A 23,913-nucleotide genomic window follows, 5' to 3' on the forward strand; every position below is an offset into this window, starting at 1 on the left:
ATTCCTTGTCTGGTCATTCTTGCCTTTTTCTAGGACTCTCCTAATGTTTGTCATAAATGAATGAAATGATTCTGTCATTCTTACTTGCCCTGTAAGTAACTTTTTAGATACTTGCTAGAAGAATAAGCTCAGGACCTTGCATTCCAAATGAAATTTCTGAATTTTTGTTTCTCCTTTCCTTAGATTTCACAAGGCTTTAGTATTGCCATTGTTTTTCACTTTATTTTTTTTTAGGTAACAAGGCTAGCAGATTCCATAATCTAATGTTGATGTTAGTCAATCAGCTTCAAAACTGGATATGCTATTTGGTCATTAGCCTTGTTACATGTGCTTTTGGATATGGGTTTTATCAACCCTCAAATTATAATTCTTTAAGTACAAGATATGAGTATATGTGAGCAATTTTCAAGCAGTGCTTTCAAATAAGTGGTACACTGATTAAACAATGAAAATCCCTGGTTGACAATTCTATCAGGCACCACAGTTGATAAATTGAAAATCAGTGGGGCACAAGAAGGATTATAAAATATTTGTCTGAGGAAAAATTTGCAATAATGTATTCTTTGTGAAAGACATTAAAAAATTAAATGTCAGCAGTTTGCAACTGAAGCAGAAATGACTGATTTTTTTCAACAGATATCAAATAGTTTGTGCCCACTCTGTATAAGGCATTGTGCTAGGAAAAACATCATTAATATTATAGAAAATAATTAGATAGGCTCTTTGGACAAGATCAATTGTCTGTTGCACACCACACACACACACACACACACACACACACACACACACTCCAAAGTTTCTAAAAACCTACCCATTTATTTAAAAAAAAAGAAATGTTTATTTAGAAAACAAAAGAAAAATGGTTTTTTTCCTAGGGAAGAGAAAGATTAATTTTCTTTTCCCAGAAAGCATTTTTAATTTTCTCTAATTAGAAAACCTTTATTATATTTCTTTCTCAAAGTAAAGCTATTGTTTGACAAATATTTATTTATATATTTATGTTTTAGTTTTTTGAGACAGAGTCTCACTCTGTCACCCAGGCTGGAGTGCAGTGGCACAGTCTCAGCTCACTGCAACCTCTGCCTTCTGGATTCAAGCGATTCTTGTGCCTCAGCCTCCCAAGTAGCTGGAACTACAGGTGTGTGCCAACACACTCAGCTAATTTTTGTATTTTTAGTAGAGACGGGCTTTTGCCACATTGGTCAGGCTGGTCGCAAACTCCTGGCCTCAAGTGATCTGCCCACCTCAGCCTCCCAAAGTGCTGGGATTATAGGCATGAGCTACCCTTGGCCTATTTTGTATTTACAACAATATCCCTAAGAAACACTTTTTTTTTTTTTTTACAAGTTTTTTTTTTTTTTTTTAAATTACAGATGAGGTGTTGCTGTGTTGCCCAGACTGGTCTCAAACTCCTGGCCTCAAGTCATCCTCCTGCCTTGGCATCCCAAAATGCTGGAATTAGAGGCGTGAGCTACTGTGCCTGGCCATTTTTATAAGCTTTTAAGCTGAAAGTAATTTTTATTCCCATTCCACAAATACTTTGAAACTGGTTTCTTAAGTTTCTTTAAAAGTTGTCTTATGAGATCATTCCAGTATGACATTGTCTGTATAAATATCTTATATAAGCATTGCTCAAGACATTTTCGTGTTACAGTAGTCCCTCTTATCCACAGTTTTGCTTTCTGCAGTTTTTGTTACCTGCTGTATAGTACATTAAGACATTTTGTGTGTAAGAGAGAAAGATAACCACATTTACATAACTTTCATTACAGTATATTGTCGTATGTCCTCTATTTTATTATTTTTGTTGTTAATCTCTTATTGTGCCTAATTTTTTTTTTTTTTGAGGCAGGGTCTCGCTGTGTCTCCCAGGCTGGAGTGCAGTGGCACAATCTTGGCTCACTGCACCTCTGCCTCCTGGGTTCCAGCAATTCTCCCGCCTCAGCCTCCTGAGTAGCTGAGACTATAGGTGCCTGCCACCAGGCCCGGCTAATTTTTTGTATTTTTAATAGAGACGGGGTTTCAACATATTGGCCAGGCTGGTCTCAAACTCCTAACCTCAGGTGATCCACCTGCCTCGGCCTCCCAAAGTGCTGGGATTACAGGCATGAACCACCGTGCCTAGCCCTGTGCCTAATTTTTAAGTTAAGCTTTATCATAGGTATATATGTATGTATGTGAAAAAACATAATTAATATAACGTTCATTACTATCTGCAGTTTCAGGCATCCATTGGGGGACTTGGAACATATCCCCCATGGGTAAGAGGGGATTACTGTATTACATCTTTAGTATGGCTTCAAAATAACTAAACGATTAAACTACCTTTTTGGCATTTGATGTGTCTTCTAAATTAAATTTATTGCTCAAAGATGGAAATTACTGTTTGATTAGACAAGTTCAGTTGTCTAAATCTTCTCCCTATTCTCTTACCTCTCTAGCCTATTGACATTTGGAGAAAGGCCCAAACACCCTGGAATCTTTGCCTCACTATCCTGCCATAGGATAGTTTCCACTTTCAGATACTCCTTTGGGCAGAGTTACTAGAGGCTCCTTTTAAAACTCTGATGTTTTCTTTAAGAGCTAGTCTCTTGGAAAAGACCAAGAAAGGTCCTGAGTATGAGCTATAACTCAAAAAAGCCTGGGGCCATTTGCAAGAGGGGTAAACCCTAGCCTGATGGGGGTTAAGGTCCTGGCACTGTAGATATGAAAAGGGAGAGACCAGGACTCCAAAGACAAACCACGGAAGACAACTCGGATTCCTTTAAGATTTTGCCTATGGTTGGCTCTACTTCTTAATACTTCTGTATTACCTTAATCATTACTTCTGAATACAGTAACATGCATTTACTACTGATGGGACAAAAAAAATTGATTAAAAATTTTTGTGTTTATTTCACTATCTCTGGTGTTCTCTTTTCCAAAAGACATCTTTTTACTTAAGTAATATAGCATGGATAAAGAAGTCTTTCTGGTGCAAAAAAACCATCCACCCCTCAACTTCTGACTTTCAGTGATTGATATATAAATCGTTTAAAAAATGAAACTTAGCTTTCTCTAATAAATATGTTAAAAGAATTTTAAAAATAAGTTTTCATGTTAAGTATTTCTGTTTAAATCTGGAGGAAAGTAGTTCTTTAAATATACAAAGCTTATTCTCAATTTTAATGCAGTATGTATGCTTTCTGCATATTAGAGCAGGGAAAGGAGAAGAAAGGGAGGCAAGAAGAAAAATCTGGCTAGGTAGTAGAAAGGCTAGAGTGCCTGGTAAGTCTGTGAAGAGAAAAGGTCAGGATACCATGGAAATCAACTGGAATATGAAGAAGAGGAAAGGCAGGTAGTTCAGATGGGGAATCCTAGAAGCTAAAAGATCATTGAGTTTCTTCACACACCTGTTAATAACATAGATATGCTCACACACTCCTCCATCTTGAAATCCTTTCTATAATAAACCTGCCAAGTAATTGTCCAGCCATTCCTTGAACATCCAATTTGGGAGATTACTCTTCAGAAAATACATTTCGATACAATACATCACTCTATCAATCTCTCACACTGAACTGAAACCACTTTCTCTCTAAATTTCTCTTAATAGACCTAGTTCTACCTTAGGGTTAGAGTCACCACCAGTCTATATTGTGTTTTTGTGCAAATTAGAAAAGGTGTTCTCAGTAAAAGGAAAAAACCCTCTAGAGCTGCCTGCCCCCTTTATCGGAATTAGAGAAAGTTACTATTTTCCCATCTGGACTTGGCCCCTACGAAGGCACATAGCTTATCAAATAAAACATTAGCTGGATTTAGCTCTCTCCTTCCCATTTTTCTCCTCAGTTGGGCACCTGTGTATAGCAAGCAGCCTGACAACTATATCTGAAGTTTGGCTTAGGGTCACACAGGAAAAAACAAATCCTTATCCACAAGCCAGTTACATGAAAACAGCTCTTACATGTCTCTAAATCTTCTGAAGGCCAGACATCAATAATTCCTTATTCTTATTCTTCTTATGTGATATAGTTTTAGATCCAAAAATCTTCTCTGAACAAACTGGTTTAACTATCTTCTCTTTCATATCTGATGCCCCAGATTAAATATAGAGATACTCAGGTGTACAGAACAAGTATAATTATGTAGCTTTGCTATCAAATACATTGTTTCATATTCTATAATTGATTAATAAAGCCAAAACTGTTAAACCTTTTTCAGTAGCTAGAATATACTTCCAAATCATTGAAGCTACAGGATTCTATTATCTCTGTGTATTCCTCCCCCCCTTTTTTGGTGATTGCTAAGCTCTATTTTTCTTATCCTATATATATATGTGGTTGGTTTTTATTTTAGGATTTTAAGGTTATCCCTAATAAATTTTGAGATGTGTTCCATAGCTAGCCTGTTGAGATCTTTTTATATCAAAAGTTAATATCTGTGGATTTGTAATCATTCTTTCTACATATTTAACAAAGTCATTAGCAAAATATTGAACAAAACCTGTTATTCATATCCTTAGATACAGAACATCAATATCCTGAGATACAGTACATCATCAAAATGTGGTCCCCAAATGAGCAGCAATAGCATCATGTGGGAGCTTGTTAGAAATGCAAATCTTGGGCCCCACCTGCTGAATTGGGAACTCTGGGGATGAGGCCCAGCAATTTGCTTGAATAGACCCTCCAGTTGATTCTGTTGCATGATAAAGTTTGAGAACCGCTGTATTACATGGACCTCTCCTTTGTATCTATTTAGGTCAATTATTCAGAACCTTATGGGTACCTTAAGATTTCTCAGCCAGTTGCTAATCCTCTGATTGAATCTAACTCACAGTTTGGCATCTTGCTCCATGTTATGAGCAGCTTCTGTCAGAAGCCTTGCTAGCATGAAGAGTTAATAACAGCAATTGAATTTTCCTTATCTACCAGTCTAATTACCCTTTCAAATAAGAAAATGACATTACTCGGATTCGTCATAAATCCGTATTGACTCATAGTGATCACTTTCTCTTGAAGACTCTCAGAAATCTTTACTTAATAGCCTGTGATTGGTTCTCAGGATTAACATAAAATCCTGCTAGTCTGTGATATGCTAGCAAGAGAGCCATAGTCCAAGGAAGTCCAGTAGCAAGGATCAGGAACTCAGATTGGAAATCATGAGCCACCAAAGAAATGCTGGGCAACTCAGAAAAGATGCTTAAATCATAAAATTTAAGCAATAAGAAGTGAGTTTCATTTACAAGATTGAAATATAAGCACCAACAATGGCCTTTATTCTGTGCTAGATTTTCCTTTTATTTGGTTTAATCAGAATCCAAATGTTTATTTTCCCATTCTTGTTACTCTGTGAAAAACATCATACATGTATTTCCTCAGCCTCAAAATGTCAATCTGCAGGTAGAAACAAATAGCACATCTAGATGTAGTGGGGGAGGTGGAAAGGTGGAAATAATTCAGTTACTGACAAATTATTCTATACCATCATTCAGCCATGTACTTTTTGTTTTTGTTCGTTTTATTTTTCTGATGATGAAGAAGAATTAGCATTGACCCATCTATGTGCTCATTTGTTTTTTGAAACAATGTGTTGGTGCTCTTTTTTTTGGTATTCCTTGTGACGGGTGACACACGTACCTGTGAGTTAAATTAGCTTGAGCTAAAATTTCAGTCTGTAATTATGAAACAGAACTTTTTCCCATGTTAAGTCAACTTCTTTATAGGAAGATTCATTTGTGCAAATGTTTAACGAGAACCTATTATATGTTTGTTATATACTGGGAAATCAAAGATAAACTTCAAAGATTTCATAGTCTGGCTGGGTACGAGACAGGTACATAACTGTAATAGAGCATAATTAATTGTTTATAGAATATGTATTATGTGTAGAGAGGGGGCAATTAATTCTGTATGCTGTGGGATTGAGAAGATTGACTATGACCGAAGTAAAATTTGAGCTGGGTAAAAAGTAAAAATTGAGATGGATAAGATTTCACCAAAAGCAGGGAAGGGCATTCTGAACAGAGGGAATGAGACAGACAAAAGCACTGTGATAAGACAATGTTTAGGGAATCTTCAAATAATCATATGTGGATGGACTACAAAATGGAGCTTTTTAATTAGGACCATGACATGATTAAATCTGTGTCATAGAATGTTAACTCTAGTGTCATTTAGAAATTTGTACTGGAATGAGGCAGAGACTGAAAGCAGGAAGACCTGTTAAAAGGCTGTTGAACTTTTCCATGTGAAATACAAAAAAAGCTTAACCTTCATCAGTGGGAATGGAGAGTATGGATTCCAGGCATTTTGGAGGAGGGAATACATAAAAAGAGTGAATGAGTAAAGGTACAATTTGATATGATTTAACCATCCAGGATGGATAGTTTAATTAAATTCAACATAGAAGATTTGAAATTGCAGGTATCTTACAGAGTGCTATGCTCATAATAAAAGGTCTACAGATGTTTGTTTATTGACTAAATTAACAAAGTAACAAATCAGGAACTCTCTGTAACCAACACTGGTCTCTTCTAGAGTTCTACCTTTGTTGTCAGAAAGTTAAGACCCAGCTGATACTGCTGTATTTCAACTCAAGACCATTTAACTCCTTGATCTAAACAAAACTAATCATTATTTCTTTCATAAAAATTCTTCACATATTTGATGACTGAAGAATGACCTTTTAACTTTATCTTTCTGAGCTAAGTAGTTATTTTTTAAAATGTTTCCTTGTAGGGTATTTTCACATGCCTTTTTGTAAATTTTCTTTGGATCTTTTCCTGTTTTTCTACTTTTTTAACCTATACTTGGTCAAAGTGGATACAATGTCTAAGTTCAGGAATATAGAATTATATGAACTTATATAGAACTTTTCTTTTTTAAATTGCTTTCAGATCAGTCTTAAGATGGTCTGAGTACATGTCAGGAAGTTGAGACCTTGCTTCCAGTCCTGGCTTTGCCTCTAACTTGAGCAAGTTGACTTGGACAAACCCTTCAACCATCAAGAGGCCTAAATTTTTCCCATAACACATGGAATTTGGAATTGATAAATGTTTCAAGATAACGTCCTGGTTCTAAGATTCAAAGGCAGTTAAATGTTAAGACATTGAAGAGTGTGGGGCTTTGAAGTCATATATTAATTATGTCTTCATATCTATTATGTGCATGGCATTGAGGGAATACAGTGGTAAGCAAAACAGAAAAGGTCTTTACCCTCTTGGAGTTTAAGTCCAGTGGGGAAACAGTAATTAATAACTTCATTAATAAATATGACTATAAATTGTTAAACTTTGTAAAAGTATATGGTATGAGAATACTAGGTAGGATCTATGTATGAATATAGAGGTTAACTTTTGGTTAATTTGACCATAACCATCATGCTAGTATAACTGCATGTTTGGAGACAGTCAGGAAGATAACCAGGAATACATACTTGGAAATTGCAAAAATAGCTCCCTCTGAAAGCTACATTGAACCTTTGATCTTAGTATAAATTTTATACAAGTTCAAGATAAATGTCTTCTTATTTGGAGGAGCATTTGCCAAGGTATGAGAATGATGTTCTGAATCAGTGTATGTACTTTGTTTTATATTTATTAAATACTTATTATATATTGGGTACCAATATAGATACCTTATAGATATAACCATATAGAAGAAAAGATTAATATGTCTTCTAAACAAGTTCTTACAAAGGTGTCACAGAAATTCTTCCTGTTACTAAGAAAATACAGACTATTTCCCAAGCATCAGGCAATCAGAAAGACCTATTCTATATTTGAAGTATCCAGAGTAGGTCTAGAATACATTTTTAAATTCATTCTGCCCAAATGTCTAAGTTAGGTTATTAGCTCCTAAGGGTTTAACATCTGAAATCTGTAGGTATTAGAAAAGGCATTAGAATAGCTCCAGATTAAAGAGTGCTGGCACCTATTTCAATGGTGAGTTATTGGAGAGTAGATAAGTTTCTTAATGTGAAAGCCTTGGTCTTTCTTAATTTTTGGATAAAAACTTAACCTGCTGGGCACAATGGCTCATGCCTGTAATCCCAGCACTTTGGGAGGCCACGACTGGAGAATCGCTTGAGCCCAGGGGTTCGAGACCAGCCTGGGCAAAATAGGGAGATTTCATCTCTGCAAAAAAAATTAAAATTACTCAGATGTGGTGGTGCACATGTGTAGTCCCAGCCACTCAGGAGGCTGAGGTGGGAGAATTGCTTGAGCCTGGAAGGTCAAGGCTGCAGTGAGCCGTGATCATGCCACTGTACTCCCGCCTGGGTGACAGAGTGAGACCCTGTCTCAAAAACAAAACAAAACAAGAAAGCTTAGCCAAAAAAGAAAAAAAAAAAGGATGCTGTTTATAGAGTTTTAGCGACTATGACCTCTAATTCTAGCCTTGAAAAAGGGCTGTGCCCCATAATAAAAGTATTAAGGCAAAATCATCTGGATGGTAAGAGAAGAATATTTCAGTGCCTTTTTAAAAAGTAAGCTGGATGCTGTTACACTGTTTGGATACCTGAATTTGTTCCTGGTTTGGATACCTGAATTTGATACCTAACCTATCTGATGGAGGATACTTTGCCCAGGTTTAATTCCAAGAAATGGAGAAAACTAGATACTACTTTATATAAAAATGAGGTGATGAAGGTAGAGTAACAGTTGGTCCTCGAGGTTTGCATCCCACTGTTGCTGACCGCATACAGCAGAAAATACATCTAAAAGCCAAGAATCCTAACTCTCCTGATTCCCAGGCATAAGTTCTTCACCACCAGAAAAACCACTAGATGGTGCTCTTAGTCATTCCTTCTAACGACACAGCTGGTTCACATGGGATACTTTGTTTGTCTAATAACAAAGTTTGTTAAACAAAACTTGAGTTCTTACTAGCTACTTTAATATTCAGATCTAGATAGAAATGAAATTACAAGAAGTATCTTCAAATAGAATGAATATTGGCATTCATATTCAGCCATTTATTTAGTTACAGAATTATTCCATTTTATATGCACCTGTGTGGTCATTTGCAAGCAAGATCTTAAAACTTTAGCTTAGCCTCCTCCCCTTTCTTTCAGTCTTTTGTCAAGCTTCTGATGTATTCCCTCTTATGACTCCATGGGCCCTTTTTCTCCCCCACCCTCTTTACCCCCTGACAATTCTTCCTACCCTGTATGGATGTTTTCTATATCTACATTGTAAACAATCTACATTCTCTGCCTTATGATAAAGATAACTGTCTGCCTAGAACAAGATTTTTCAAGGACTTCTGAGTTTAATTCCCTCTGAGTTTAATTTCAGAGTAGGTTTTATATTTTCCAGTCAAGATAAATACTTATGGCCTGACATCTTGGCAATTTTCCTTCCCCCCTCGTAACAAACCCTTTACATTTTGCATAGATCCTGAGGGGAAGGGCCTGTTTTCCTACTCAAAAATTTTTTTTTTTTTATATATACAAATAACTCATGTTTTGCCTACAGGTATTCTTTGTTCTCTTAAAACTTCATAGATTGCCGGCTGGGCGCAATGGCTCACATCTGTAATCCCAGCACTTTGGGAGGCCGAGGTGGGTGGATCACCTGAGGTCAGGCGTTCAAGACCAGCCTGGCCAACATGATGAAACCCCGTCTCTATTAAAAATACAAAAAAATTAGCTGGGTGTGGTGGCACATGCCTATAATCCCAGCTACTCTGGAGGCCGAGGCAGGAGAATTGCTTGAACCCGGGAGATGGAGGTTGCAGTGAGCCGAGATCACACCACTGCACTCCAGGCTGGACAGCAGAGCGAGACTCCGTCTCCAAAAACAAAACAAAAACCCAACTTCATCGATTGCCAATTTGGAAGATAGTTTTGTTATAATCACAGCTTACCCCGCATACATTATTTTTTGTTCCCACTTTCATCTAAATTGATTCAAACTAGTCTTCTTCCAAGTTAGGCTGATATAGCAGAGTTTTACTCTATTGTTATAATATACCTTCCCAATAAGATCAGACACCTCCTTCTCTAATCTAAGAATATTTGAAAACTTGGAATCAGGCCGGGTGCGGTGGCTCACGCCTGTAATTCAGCACTTTGGGAGGCCAAGGTGGGCGGATCACCTGAGGTCAGGAGTTTGAGACTAGCCTGGGCAGCATGGTGAAACCCCTTCTCTTCTAAAAATACAAAATTAGCAGGGCCTGGTGGTGCATGCCTGTAATCAAAGCTACTCAGGAGGCTGAGGCAGGAGAATCTCGCTTGAACCTGGGAGGTAGGGGTTGCATTGAGCCAAAATTGTGCCATTGCACTCCAGCCTGGGCAACAGAGTGAGACTCCATCTCAAAAAAAGAAAAGAAAAGAAAATTTGAAATCATTTATTATTGCAGAAAATAAGAGGAAATGAATATCCTGAAGTTATTTTGTTTATTAAAAAGGAAATAGTCAAATTGGAGGCATTAAGAGAAAAAAACAAAGATTTGGAATCTCTTAAAAAAGAACACTTCATAGTCTGGAAATGATTTTTACATATCTTATTGGGAAACCAGGATCAATGTGTGTTATTTAAAAATACCCTTAAAGGCATGGCTAAATGACAAAAACAAAGACACCATAATAGGGGGGGAAGTGGGCATTATTGTTTTTAAAATTTTAAAGATGGTCCAAGGGAGGAGAATTAGGAATCCCCAAAATATGACAAATTATATACAAAATGAGAATCTGAATGAGCCAAAAAGTAATTTGACGATAGTACTTCTAGAGATTTCAAAAATTAGTCATCAATTCTTTAAAAATTTAAAAGATTAAAATTGACCCCATGAATTATTGGGACCATAGACAATATTAGTAGAAATGATTTGTATTACTATTTATTCATTCAACACACATTTATTGACTGTTTCCTAGGTGACAGGTATGGTGTATGTAACTACTTCCCAGGAGCTTCTTGTTTAGTGGAAGAGCTCATGATTTAGTTTTAATTGAAGAAACTATTAGGAGTATTTTCACCCACCCTAAATTACTTTTATATAAATACACTAAGTGTATACAGTTATGTTCTTGATTTGCACTGTTAAATAAATACATATGGCTAGGAAATTTAAATTAAGCTGGATGCAGTGCCTCATACCTGTAATCTCAGCACTTCGAGAGGCCAGGGCAGGACGACTGCTTGAGGCCAGGAGTTTGAGACTGGCCTAGGCAACATAGTCCCCCTGTCTCTACAGAAAATAAAAAAAATAACCAGACATGATGGCACCTGTAGTCCCAGCTACTCAGGAGGCTGAGAGGGGAGGATTGCTTGAGCCCAGGAGGTTGAGGGAGGCTGCAGTGAGCTGTGATGGCACTCCAGTCTGGGCAACAGAGTGAGACCCTGTCGCAAAAAAAATTAACTAAAATAAAACCAAAAATTAAGTTTAGCATGGATATTACATTTCATTATTGCAGAACATTCTCTTGGACAGCACCATTCTAAATCTAATCAACAAGCTACATAATATATCACTATCCAATACTGGATGACATTCCTTAGAATTTATTTATGGTTCTGTTTTTCTTCATTCATTTAAGAAACTTTCATTGAATACTCATTATAAGTCAGGCATTGCGCTAGGTGATAAGAATGTAGAAGTGAAGTTACCGTCCCTGCTCTCAGGGAGTTCATGATTTAGTGGGAAGACCCAGACAGATAAACAATTACAAGGCAGCAAAGTGAGTGCTGAAGTTAGGCTGTGCACAGGAAGTTGCAGTGAGAACACAGAGAAAGGACATAAGCCAACCTGCAGGGATAATGGAAGTCTTCCCAAGGAAGACGATGATTGAAGGATAAATAAGAGTTTACCCAGATGGAAAATAAGAGGAAGGATGCTGTAGGCAGAGGGATCAAAGCATCATGGAAAGAGAGTGGTATATGCATGGAAGTACAGGTAGTTTGGTGTGGTATAGAAACTAAGGTGCCCCTAGGGAAATGATGAGATGAGGCTGGCAGATAGACAAAGGCTAGATTGCAAAGGACCTTAGCCTTGTTTTATTTGAAGATGATGGGGAACTATTGAAGGATGTTAAACTGTGAGGTGGCACAAGTCACATCTGTGTAAATCCTACTGGAAGAAGTGGATGGAGAGGTTGCACCAGAAGCAGGGAGATCAGATAGGGTGTGTTTCAGTAATCCAAGCAAGAAATGATGATAGTTTGTACTAAGGTAGAAACAAATTCAGACTCAGGAGATATTTTGGGAAGTAGAAACAACAAGATTGACTGCAGTTGAGTTTTAAAGAAATAAAGGGAAAAATACGAAGCTGTGAATCAATAGCATATCATTACGAATGTCCTCTGTGCCAGATGATTATCAGATCACTAAATTGCCTTCTACCCCTAAAAAAATTTGAGAAAAAGCCCTGAGTGTTATAATCTAGTGAATTTCACTTCCATATTGATTAGATTCTTATGAGAGATGTGATAAAAGATGAGAGACTGAATACTTAATCAGATTCTGGATTAATGGAGTAAATGCCAGAAAACCTGAATTAGTTATATAATCCCGGGCAAGTCACTTTCCTTTTAATTTTTCTGCCCTGTAAAATGAAGGACTCAGCTGGGTGTGGTGGCTCACGCCTGTAATCACAGCACTTTGGGAGACCGAGGCAGATCACTGGAGGTCAGAAGTTTGAGACCAGCTGGCCAACATGGTGAAACCCTCTCTCTACTAAAAATACAAAAATTAGCCGGGCATGGTGGCATACGTCTGTAATCCCAGCTACTTGGGAGGCTGAGGCATGAGAAACGCTTGAACCTGGGAGAAGGAGGTTGTAGTGAGCCAAGATTGCGCCACTGCACTCCACCCTGGATGACAAAGCAAGACTCCATCTCTTAAAAAAAAAAAAAAAAAAATGGACTCGGCAACTTTTAAACTGAGTCTTTAGGGGACTGTTGGACGTGTTTCAAAGAGGTTGTCTCTTTCAGTTGCAAGATTTTATGATCCATCATCTGCATGCCCTATTTACTCAAGTAAGTTATTGTGATGCTCAGAGCAGATGGTGTGTGAGAAAGTGCTTAGTAAAGTATAAAGTGCTATATAAATTTATAGTATCATTAATTTTGACATTGAGCTCTTTGGTTAAATGATAGTATCTTCAACAGGAACCTAGGGAGAAGAAAAATTATTTTAAGATTATTTTTAATGTAGAAAAATTCTGAGCATTAAGTAGATAATAACTATATGTCTAATTGAAATTGAGCTTATTTTTGTGCCTGATAAAATGAGTCTCCCTGCATCATAGAAAGTCTTTATTTATGAGTATATGTGTATCTATCCATGGTGATGGTAGAAGCTATGGTAACATTTACAGCCTTGGTTGAGAACCACTAGGGATTTATGGTTTTTTTTTGTGACCAAAAAAAAAAAAAGGCCAATAAAATGCTGGATGGTCCTAAGTATTTTTTTTTAAGACAAGATCTTGCTTTGTCACCCAGGCTGGAGTGCAGTGGTACGATCATGGCTCAGTGCAGCCTCAACCTCCTGGGCTTAAGTGATCCTCCTGCCCTAGCCTCCCCAGTAGGTGGAACTACTACAGGTGCATGCCACCATGCCTGGCTAATTTTAATTTTTTTTTGTAGAGATGGGGCCTTGCTATGTTGCCCAGGCTGGTCTTAAACTCCTGGCTTCAAGCAATCCTCCAGCCTTGGCTTCCCAAAATACTAGGATTTATAGGCATGAGCCACCATGCCCAGCCAAAAAAAGTATTTTTTTAAAGTTAGAAAACACCTTTAATTTAAACACCTTTTATGATTATAATATAAAAGGCCAACATAAAATAATGTATTTTACTATGTAATATAAAAGGTATAATTTTGCTTATCGTTTTTCAGTTAAGATGTAATGATACTAGAGAAAGGCAACTCAGCTACCTAGGCCATTTTCAGTTAAGACGTAATGATACTAGAGAAAGGCAACTCAGCTACCTAGGGCATAGTAGGGGGTAATGGTGATACCACTGTATGAAAGTATACCACTTATTGTCTAGGGTAATGGTGATACCACTGTATGAAAGTATACCACTTATTGTCTAACAAGACAGTGATATGAATAAATTGTACTAAATACTGAAAAGTGTGGCTAGATTTGGTCACTAAATTTTGGTTTTCTAGAAAAAAGGGGTCTGAGAATGGTGAATTTAGTCACTTATCTAATGACCATAACCTAGCAGAGAACCAAGAACAAAGGGGGAAAAGTGGTGCATCTCTGAGTAACCAAAAGGTTACTCATTCTCAAAAGGTACATGTGCTCAAAGGAACGTGTATAAAACCTATTAACCTTACTAGTAGGAGAGGCCCTTACTTAGGTTGTATTTGCTCTTACTTTAGACATAATTCTAGTAATTGATTAGCTGGCTTACCTGCTCAAGAAGAGTAAAGATAAAATTAATAAGACAGATGAGGGAGAGAGTAGGGAGTAAGAATTCATGTTAAAACTACCAGGGAGAAGGCAGAAAAATTAGAAAAGCTAGACACAAGAACTCAAATAGCGCAGCTTTTTAATAGAACAAAAAAACAGCTCTTACTTCCATAACAGCCCCTGGGAATTTTACTTTATAGAACAAAATGTATTCTTAATGGTGACCCAGAGAATTACGATACATTTTAGAATTTTGTAAAATATGCCTAAGATTAAAGAAAAATTCTGATGCTTAAAGCAAAAATTATACAACAGCAACATTCCCCAGAGATGCCAGATAAATTAAGCTGTGCAAATTTTCATTTATTTATTGTTTTTAATTGTTGATTTTGAGCCTTTCTAAACTATATTTCACACAGAATACACTAAATTTAAGAATTGCTTTTGTTATTCCAAGAACTATATAGGCTGAAATTTTAAATAGCTTCCAAAATTCTAGCTCAGATAAATTCACAAATGGAACATCTATAATGTTCTCTAAAAAAATCAGAATATCCAGCACTTTGGGAGGCCAAGACAGGGGTGTTGCTTTAGGCCAGGAGTTCAAGCCCAGCCTGTGCCACATAGCAATACCCTATCTCTACCAAAAAAACCCCCAAAAAAACAAAAAAATCATTAGCCAAGTGTGGAGATGCATGCCTGTAGTCCCAGCTACTTGGGAGGCTGATTCCTTGAGCCCAGGAGTTCGAGGTTGCAGTGAGTTATAATCATGCCACTGCAGCCTGGGTGACAGATCGAGAAAAAGAAAAAAAAGAAGAAGAAAAGAAAATTAGAAATTAATGGGGTGGGAAAATGATTACAGGCATTCTTATCAGAGAAGCTTGCATGTAAAATGACAGGGTCTTTTTTATGAGCCAAGTGTTTTAAGTTTTTAAAATAACTAATATTGGAATTGTCTTTAGTTTAATTAAGTAAGCTATGTTAGTAGTATTAAAAATTTTAAACCACAAAAAATTATTGAAGGAATCTGTGGAAATTTTAAAAATTCTCGTTGAGATTTTTTTTTAGTTGAGGCATGAATCCTTTCTAAAAAAATCACTGGCCGAGCGTGGTGGCTCACACCTGTAATCCTAGCACTTTGGGAGGCCGAGGCAGGTGGATTGCCTGAGCTCAGGAGTTCAAGACCAGCCTGGGCAACATGGTGAAACTCCATCTCTACTAAAATACAAAAAAAATTAGCCGGCCGTGGCGGCATGCGCCTGTAGTCCCAGCTACTCGGGAGGCTGAGATAGGAGAATCACTTGAACCTGGGAGGCAGAGGTTGCAATGAGCCGAGATGGCGCCACTGCACTCCAGCCTGGGTGACAGAATGAGACTCCGTCTCAAAAAAAATAAAAATAAAAATAAAAATAATTAAAAGGCATGAACAGACATTCCTGCATCATCCTGATTTTTCTACTTAGAACATTTTACTTATTGTCTGCATGTAAAGTTGACTTCTTACCTTGGTGTCTGCCTTTTATTGCTATTAGCTAGAGGTGGGATTTTTTAATAGCACCTATTCTTTACCAAAGCAAATGTTTCAAAATATGTTGACAGCCATGGAATTGGTATCATTTTTAAATGCTTCTACAATCGTTCACCTAAGGCTAAAAAGGGTCAGAAAGCTTTACTTGATTGAAGTACGTTACTGTTAAATTTTAGTAAGAAAACCCTCCTAAATTTATTGTGATTAGGATTACAGTGATTAAATGGCAGATTAGAAATTTAAAATTATTAAAACACTTGAGGTAATGGATGTGGAGAACTTTCTCAGTAGTGGAAATTGAAGTTTATAAATAATCTTCATTTGAAATGATTATGTGTAAATATTATAATGCATTTATAATGAGTAGAAATTAATTTATCAGTTAAACTCTTGTATATTTTGTGATCTCATTTTTATTCTTTTTTTTTCTTTCTTTTAATAGTGTTTGCCAGCTCTGAGCCTGTGCCAGGATTCCAGGGGGATACCCTGCAGCTAGCATTCATTGACCTCAGACAAGTAAGATATAATAATGTACTTCCCATTTGTTGCCCTCTAACTCTTGCCCTCCCCTCACTTTTTTTTTTTATTAATGCTACAGGAATGCCTGTTTGCCTTGAAACAACCTATCTTAAGAAAAATCCTTCCTTGGTAACTATGTATTTGGCACATCTCTTTGAACCTGTAATGCATTCAGTACCTCAACTTCATAGAGCATTCTCATCAGTGAATATTCAATTTATTTAATAGTCATTACCTGCTAAGCACATTACTAAATCATAACTTTGTAGCTTGCTATAATGACACTTGATGTTCAAATTATTTCTTAATAATCTCATGGTCATATATGAAAATTGGTGGTATTAACATTAATGTCAGGACCCAAGTTAAATGTAAATTATTACAACCTAGAAAGTAACCCCTTGCATAAAATTTTTTCAATGGTAAAGAATGCTATTTTTATAAATTTTCTGTTGATCCCAGAAAGAAGGATAAAATAAGTTTTAAAAATGTAATGAGACATTTACACAATTCTTTTCTGGCCACAATACTCTAAGTGTAGTAACAAATATGGTCATTTAAAAACTCTATTCATTTTGCTACTCTGACATATCTATTGTCGTTTTATTTATTTTCTTCCCTTTTTCCACCTCTTTATTTTTTTTTATTCTTTTCCTCCTCTTTTCTCTTCCTCTTTTTGTTTTTTTTTAATTCCTATTATTAAGTAGCTTAATAAAGCTGGGGAGTCACAAGGGGGTCATAGTAGGAAAGGAGGATCCAAGTTAGAGGGCTCAGGAGTGCTAGAATAGACAGTAGGAGTGACTGTGGCCTTTGCAAGAAGAACCATATGGAGATTGAATTAAAACAAAGCCACTGTGGTATCAGTCTATTAATGGTTCCCATTCCCTTTAGGGGATAGAGATGAGGCTTCATCATTGGTATGAACAGACTCTACCACAGTGATGTTTGGAGCAGCACCAGTTTGAGCAGTTAAGAAACTCTGACTTCAGTAAATGTTTGAGAATATAGATAATTCCAACCCACTGTTTCCTAAATACTTATTGTCTATTATATATTCATTATTTGCAGAGGAAAGATGTGGTTGAAATAAATATAAAAGTAATATAAGAAATAGTTTTATCCTGATGGAGCTTAAACATGCTTTAGAGAAGCAAAACATAAACTGGTTAGGAATCCTTATAAGACAATGAGTTGCCGGCTGGGCTGTTATCCCAGCACTTTGGGAGGCCGAGGCGGATGGATCACAAGGTCAGGAGATCAAGATCATCTTGGCTAACACGGTGAAACCCCATCTCTACTAAAAATACAAAAAATTAGCTGTGCGTGGTGGCACATGCCTGTAGTCCCAGCTACTGGGGAGGCTGAGGCAGGAGAATCCCTTGAACATGGCAGGTGGAGTTTGCAGTGAGCCAAGATTGTGCCATTGCACTCCAGCCTGGGCGACAGAGCGAGACTCCGTCTCAAAAAAAAAAAAAGACAATGAGTCGTGTGGAAATAATTGGTATATCTTCAAGTCAGGTTTAGAAGGAGACTGAAAAAGCCATTCTTATCTCCAAATTATGTCTGTAAAGTATGGTACATATAAAATATATTCATATGTACTTTTGTTTGCAGTCAGTGCTCAGATATTACGTCAAACAAGGAACACTGTTATAGGTGACCTAGATCTGTAGATGATTAACCTTGCTGAGTTGGGAAAGATAGTAGAAAGTGAAGAAGGTGGTCTTTATTAGGTCATTTGACTATTTAAAAAACTGTCTTCTCTTTATCAAAGAATAAAAAAAATTTTATTTTTTGAAATCTTTAAATTATCACTGGCTAAGTAAATGACTATTATTTTACAGTCACCTGTGATCCTATATTTATTTGTTTATTTATTTATGAGACAGAGTCTCACTCTGTTGCCCAGGCTGGAATGCAGTGTCATGGTCTCAGCTCACTGCAGCTCTGCCTCCAGGGTTCAAGCAATTCTCCTGCTTTAGCCTCCTGAGTAGCTGGGACTACAGACACGCACCACCATGCCTGGCTCATTTTTTTTTTTTGTATTTTTAGTAGAGACGGGGTTTTCCCATGTTCACCAGGCTGGTCTCGAACTCCCGGCATCAAGTGATCCGCCTGCCTTGGCCTCCCAGAGTGCTGGGATTACAGGTATAAGCCACAGCGCCCAACCACCTGTGATCCTATTTTAATCAAGTGTTTTAAACCTTTGATATTTGACATACTTCCCCAAATTTCAGATTCTAAAATTGTCTTTTTGAACTCAAACTTTTGGATATTCCGGAAAGGGCCCCTGGAAGCTCAAGAGAGACATATTAGGGCTTATTCGATATAAGAAAATCATGTGAGAAACATTGTCAAATAAGAAATGGTATTTAACTTGCTTTGAATTATATTTATACAAATATTCATGTGTTCCAAAATTATATTGGATTCCTGAAATTCTGATGTCTTGATATATGTTATCAGTCATAATTATTATGTTATTATATGTCACAAAAATAACAAAATTCCCTTGTCAATTGGTGTCTTTTACCATGGCTATTTTCTTTTTTTTTTTTTGAGATGGCGTCTCGCTCTTGTCACCAAAGCTGGAGTGCAGTGGCGCGATCTTGGCTCACTGCAAACTCCGCCTCCTGGGTTCAAGCAATTCTCCTGCCTCAGCCTCCCAAGTAGCTGGGACTACAGGCGTGTGCCACCAAGCCCAGCTAATTTTTTTTGTATTTTTAGTAGAGGTGGGGTTTCGCCGGGTTGGCCAGGCTGGTCTCAAACTCCTGACCTCAGGTGATTCACTTGCCTTGGCCTCCCAAAGTGTTGGGATTACAGGTGTGAGCCACTGCACTCAGCCTAACCATGGCTATTCTAAGTCTTTTGTCATCTACAGAATATTAATTGTTTTTCTTGATTCTCCTCAAAAAGCAGTTTACAATTGGCTACAGTCCAAAATTTGCTTCTTGGCATACAGAGTTATATAATGGACTCCAGAGACTCAAAAGGGGGAGGGTGGGAGAAGGGATGAGAGATAAAAACTACATATTGGGGGCTGGGCACGGTGGCTCACACCTGTAATCCCAGCACTTTGGAAGGCTGAGGCGGGTGGATCATGAGGTCAGGAGATAGAAACCATCCTGGCCAACACGGTGAAACCCTGTCTCTTCTAAAATACAAAAAATTAACCAGGCATGGTGGCAGGTTCCTGTAATCCCAGCTACTTGGGGGGCTGCGGCAGGGGAATCGCTTGAACCTGGGGAGATGGAGGTTGCAGTGAGCCAAGATCATGCCATTGCACCCCAGCCTGGCGACAGAGCAAGACTCTGTCTCAAACAAACAAACACTACATATTGGGTACAATGTATACTACTTGGATGATGAATACACTAAAATCTCAGACTTCACCACTATACGATTCATCCATGTAACCAAAACCACTTATATTTCAAAAGCTATTGAAATAAAATAAAAGGCTGGGCGTGGTGGCTCATGCCTGTAATCCCAGCACTTTGGGAGGCTGAGGTGGGCGGATCATGAGGTCAGAAGGTCGAGACCGTCCTGGCTAACACAGTGAAACCCCGTCTCTACTAAAAATGCAAAAATTAGCTGGGCGTGGTGGTGCACACCTGTAATCCCAGTTACTCAGGAGTCTGAGGCAGGGGAATCACTTGAACTTGGGAGGCAGAGGTTGCAGTGAGCCGAGATTGTGCCATTGCACTCCAGCTTGGGCAACAAGAGTGAAACTCTGTCTCAAAAAAAAAAAAAAAGAAATAAAATAAAAATAAAAATTTTAAAAAAGAAATACATTCTTTATGCAGACCATCACATAACCATCTTTGACATAAATCACACCCCCCTATATGTAAAGATTAAATAAGACCTCATAACCAACAGCAATGTACAGACCATGTTTACATCTTAATTTGAACAAACCAGTTATAAAAAAAAGGGAGGGGGCAGGTTTGAGATAATCAGGGAAATATGGATATTAGATATTTGGTATTAAATTATTTTTAAAAGGTATAATAATGACATGGTGAATATGTTTTTTAAATGCCTTACTAGAGGCATAATAAAATATTATAGGTAAAATGAAAAAGTACACGTACATAAGTTATACATGTTTTCAAAAAAACATTAGAATATACAAAAAAGTAGAAAAATTTACTCATAGTCTTTCTACCCAAACACATCATTATTGGCATTCTGTTTTATTTCCTGCTGGTCTTTTTCCATTAATTTTTTTCCTCATCCATGCTCCTACCCTTACCAAAATATGATTGCTGGCATACTGTCCTCACAATTCCTTCTTTGTATTTCAGATAGTGTTTGCCTCTTAAATCTTAAAAAGGAACTTTTTTTTTTTTTACCAGATATTTCAGAGCCATAAAACTCAAATATAATGTGTGTAACTTGTTTTGATCCCAATTCAGACAAATCAGTGGGAGAAAGCAGGGAAATGTATTCTGTGGTTTGTTTTAAAATACTTTAAAAAGAAAAATTATTGATAGTAGCTGAATCTGGGAGGTGAGGATGATGGGTTTATTGTGCTATTTACTTTCATATATGTTTGAAATTTTTCATAATAAAAATAAAAATATTAAATTAAAAAAATAAAAGACCCTGACAAATGCTCTTACATACAGGTGTCTGGTGACTTTGGAAATCATACCACTGGACTAGGTAAAAAAACTTCCAGGACTCTAATTAAAAAGCTGATACATTCATAAAGATTGCTAACCCAACATCAAGCAAAACAAGAATTACATGGAACTGAACTGATGGTGGACTAAAATAATTTATTATTATTTTATTTTTAAATGTTAATCTATGTATTTATTTATTGATTGATTTATTTATTTTGAGACCAGATTATGAGACTGGCTAGTTTTTGTATTTTTGGTAAAGATGGAGTTTCACCATGTTGCCCAGGCTAATCTTGAACTCCAGGGCTCAAGCAATCCACCCGCCTCGGCCTCCCAAAGTGCTGGGATTACAGGCGTGAGCCACCACACTTGGCCCAAAATGATTTTTTGTTGACTTTTTATTTAAAACATTGCTGATTCTTTCTATGTTTTGTTTTCCAGAGCCAAGAAAATTTTTTCTTCTAAGCTATTCATAACTTACAGCAATTAGTTAAAATATACTTATGAACAAAATCAAAACATTTACTTTTCTCTCTAGATGATTTCTCCAGAATTTAGAAACTATCCATAAATATTCTAGTTTTATGACAATCTAATTATTTACATAAGTTCCATAAGAATCTTTTCTTTTGTAACAGGACACATTGAAAACACTGGTTATTTTACCAAGGATTTGACTAAAATGTCATGTTTTCATATATGACCAGACTGCTTTGAGGGATTGAGGTTGACTTTATAAAGCCAATAAAGTTTAAAAACAAAAAAACAAAAAAGAGACTGGCCCTGTACCCTATCCACACAGTTCCCTTATAAGGTTCCTGACCTTGGGATAAGTAAAAAATGTCACTTTCTGGCAGGCCTGAGAACCTCAAGATACTTCAAGGACCTCGAAAAGTGAAAATTTCACCCAGTTCATACCGATATTAGAGGCACAGTCTGATGGCAAATGCTCAGCTTGCTTTCCTACCCTTGAGGCTTTTAAAAGTCTAATCCAAAATTCCTTATTAAAAGTTCCAGTGAAGTCCGTTTTTAAAAAGTCCATATGGTGAATCACTATTCTTGCTGCACTATACAAATAATCAGGCCAAATATGGTAAGACTAAAATTTATTTTACAAATAAATTGGTCCTAGTATAATTTGTATTTGATTTTTTTAAAAGGGGGACTAGAAAAAATACATATTAAAGGAAAAACCATAGTATACATGTATTAGATTCTAGCCTTGTCCATTATTTTTGAGTTTTTATTATTTGCCTGCAATTTAGAACAAATCCTAAATTCTTTTTTAGCTACAAGTCTCCAAACTAATGTTTTCACATTTTTCTCACTTAAAATCACTAAAAATTAAAACTGCTTTTCTTAAAGCCCTAAAGCTAGAACTTAATATAAACTTCAACAAAAATCACCAGAGCAACTTACATATTAACAGCCTTTATGCCTACAGATATATGGACTGTGCAAAAAGTTTGCTTGAATACCTGATTCAAACCATAATAATAATAATAATAATAAATGTGTCAGATTGCCACTGCAACCTGAAGATGCTTCAGAGACTCCAATAATTAGCTTATAGACTACTCCAGACATGGACCATTGTTTTTCTTCTGTTTCTGTAGAGATGCCTCTTATTAAAAATATGTTTGCCTACCTTACATATAGAGGCCTAGCTTCGAGGGCCCATCTGCAATGCTGTCTTCTAAAATAAGACACAGCTGTTTAATTGGACTGGCCTATTCCCCAAAATAAGAGACTGATTTGATGAGATCTTTTGCCATTGAGTTACTAACTTGATTTGTCTTTTCACAGCCACTAACTCAGCTTTTAATATGTGAAACTTCTAGGGAAGTTTTAGACAGGGAAATGTTGGGGCTCAGAAACCAGTACTCTAAAATACAGTGCTTTGACATGCTGAACGGAAGAAGCAGCACTGAGGTCTCTCTGGCCTCTTTCCCACCCCCGCCCACTGCCCCACCATCTCTCAATACTTTGTCTCTCCCAAAGTACAGGATAAAGTTGTTCTCTAAAATTCCCTCATCTGCTTGAAGTTTGGACCTGTCAAGGAAGAAAACGGTTACCTCTGGTTCCTTCCCTTGTATTAGCTAAACTCATGCAAGAAGAAAGACTGAAGTCTGTCAACACACCTGGGCAGACTTTTGTCACATAGGCTCAACAGACTTTGTCCCAGACCATTGTATGTTCTTCATTCCCATTAAGTTCCCCTAGAAATCATTCACTACCCTCCTAAAATCATCCACACTTTCCCCATCTCCCTTTCCCATAAGAAAAAAGATACAGGGTCAGGCATGGTGGCTCACACCTGTAATCCCAGCACTTGGGAGGCTGAGGTAGGAGGATCACTTGAAGCCGGGTGTCAAGACCAGTCTGGGCAACATAGCAAGACCCTACCTCTAAAACAAAACAAAACAAACCAAACAAAAACATGTAACCATCTATACCCCATTGCATAGTGGAAAAATCACTCTGCGATTCTCTCTCATGCATGCTAATAAATGTATATGGCATTTCTCCTATTAATTTGCCTTTTGTTAGTTGATGTTTCAGTTAAACTTCCAAGGGTGAGGGAGTTTTCGCTTTATCCCTACAACTCTCAACTTCATTCCGGTTTACCAGAAGAGATTCTTTCTGTTGACAGTAGATCCATTTCCTTTAGAAGGAGTTCCCTCTGTTGCAGTGCTATTTCCCTGAACAAGGTGATGTACTATTGAAAACAGGATTCTTTAGCAAGTTGAAAACAGGATTGATTGTATATTCATTTCCCAGTTAGTTTAAGGTCACTTAGTGGGGTAAGTTTCCTACTGGTGTAAGTTGCAAGGACGTAAACATATTCTCCAATCCAAAGGACAGCTTTAAGAGGAGATGATTTG

General features: G+C 37.1%; 1 protein-coding gene across 12 annotated transcripts in view; it reads left to right on the forward strand.

Annotated features, from left to right (window-relative positions):
• Positions 1-23,913, forward strand: part of EXOC6 (exocyst complex component 6) — a 232,660-nt gene that overhangs the window by 171,046 nt on the left and 37,701 nt on the right. For 10 of the 12 annotated variants that reach the window (NM_001013848.4, NM_001319194.2, XM_017016344.3 and 7 more), the window contains one exon: positions 16,318-16,391. In NM_001013848.4, coding sequence (NP_001013870.1) covers positions 16,318-16,391 — 74 coding nt within the window. Of the gene's footprint in view, positions 1-16,317; positions 16,392-16,473; positions 17,640-23,913 lie in introns of those variants that run through there. The other 2 variants (XM_047425369.1, XM_017016348.2) reach the window with 2 other exon arrangements.

This window comes from Homo sapiens, chromosome 10 (genome assembly GCF_000001405.40).
Source record: "Homo sapiens chromosome 10, GRCh38.p14 Primary Assembly".
Classification (NCBI taxonomy): domain Eukaryota; kingdom Metazoa; phylum Chordata; class Mammalia; order Primates; family Hominidae; genus Homo; species Homo sapiens.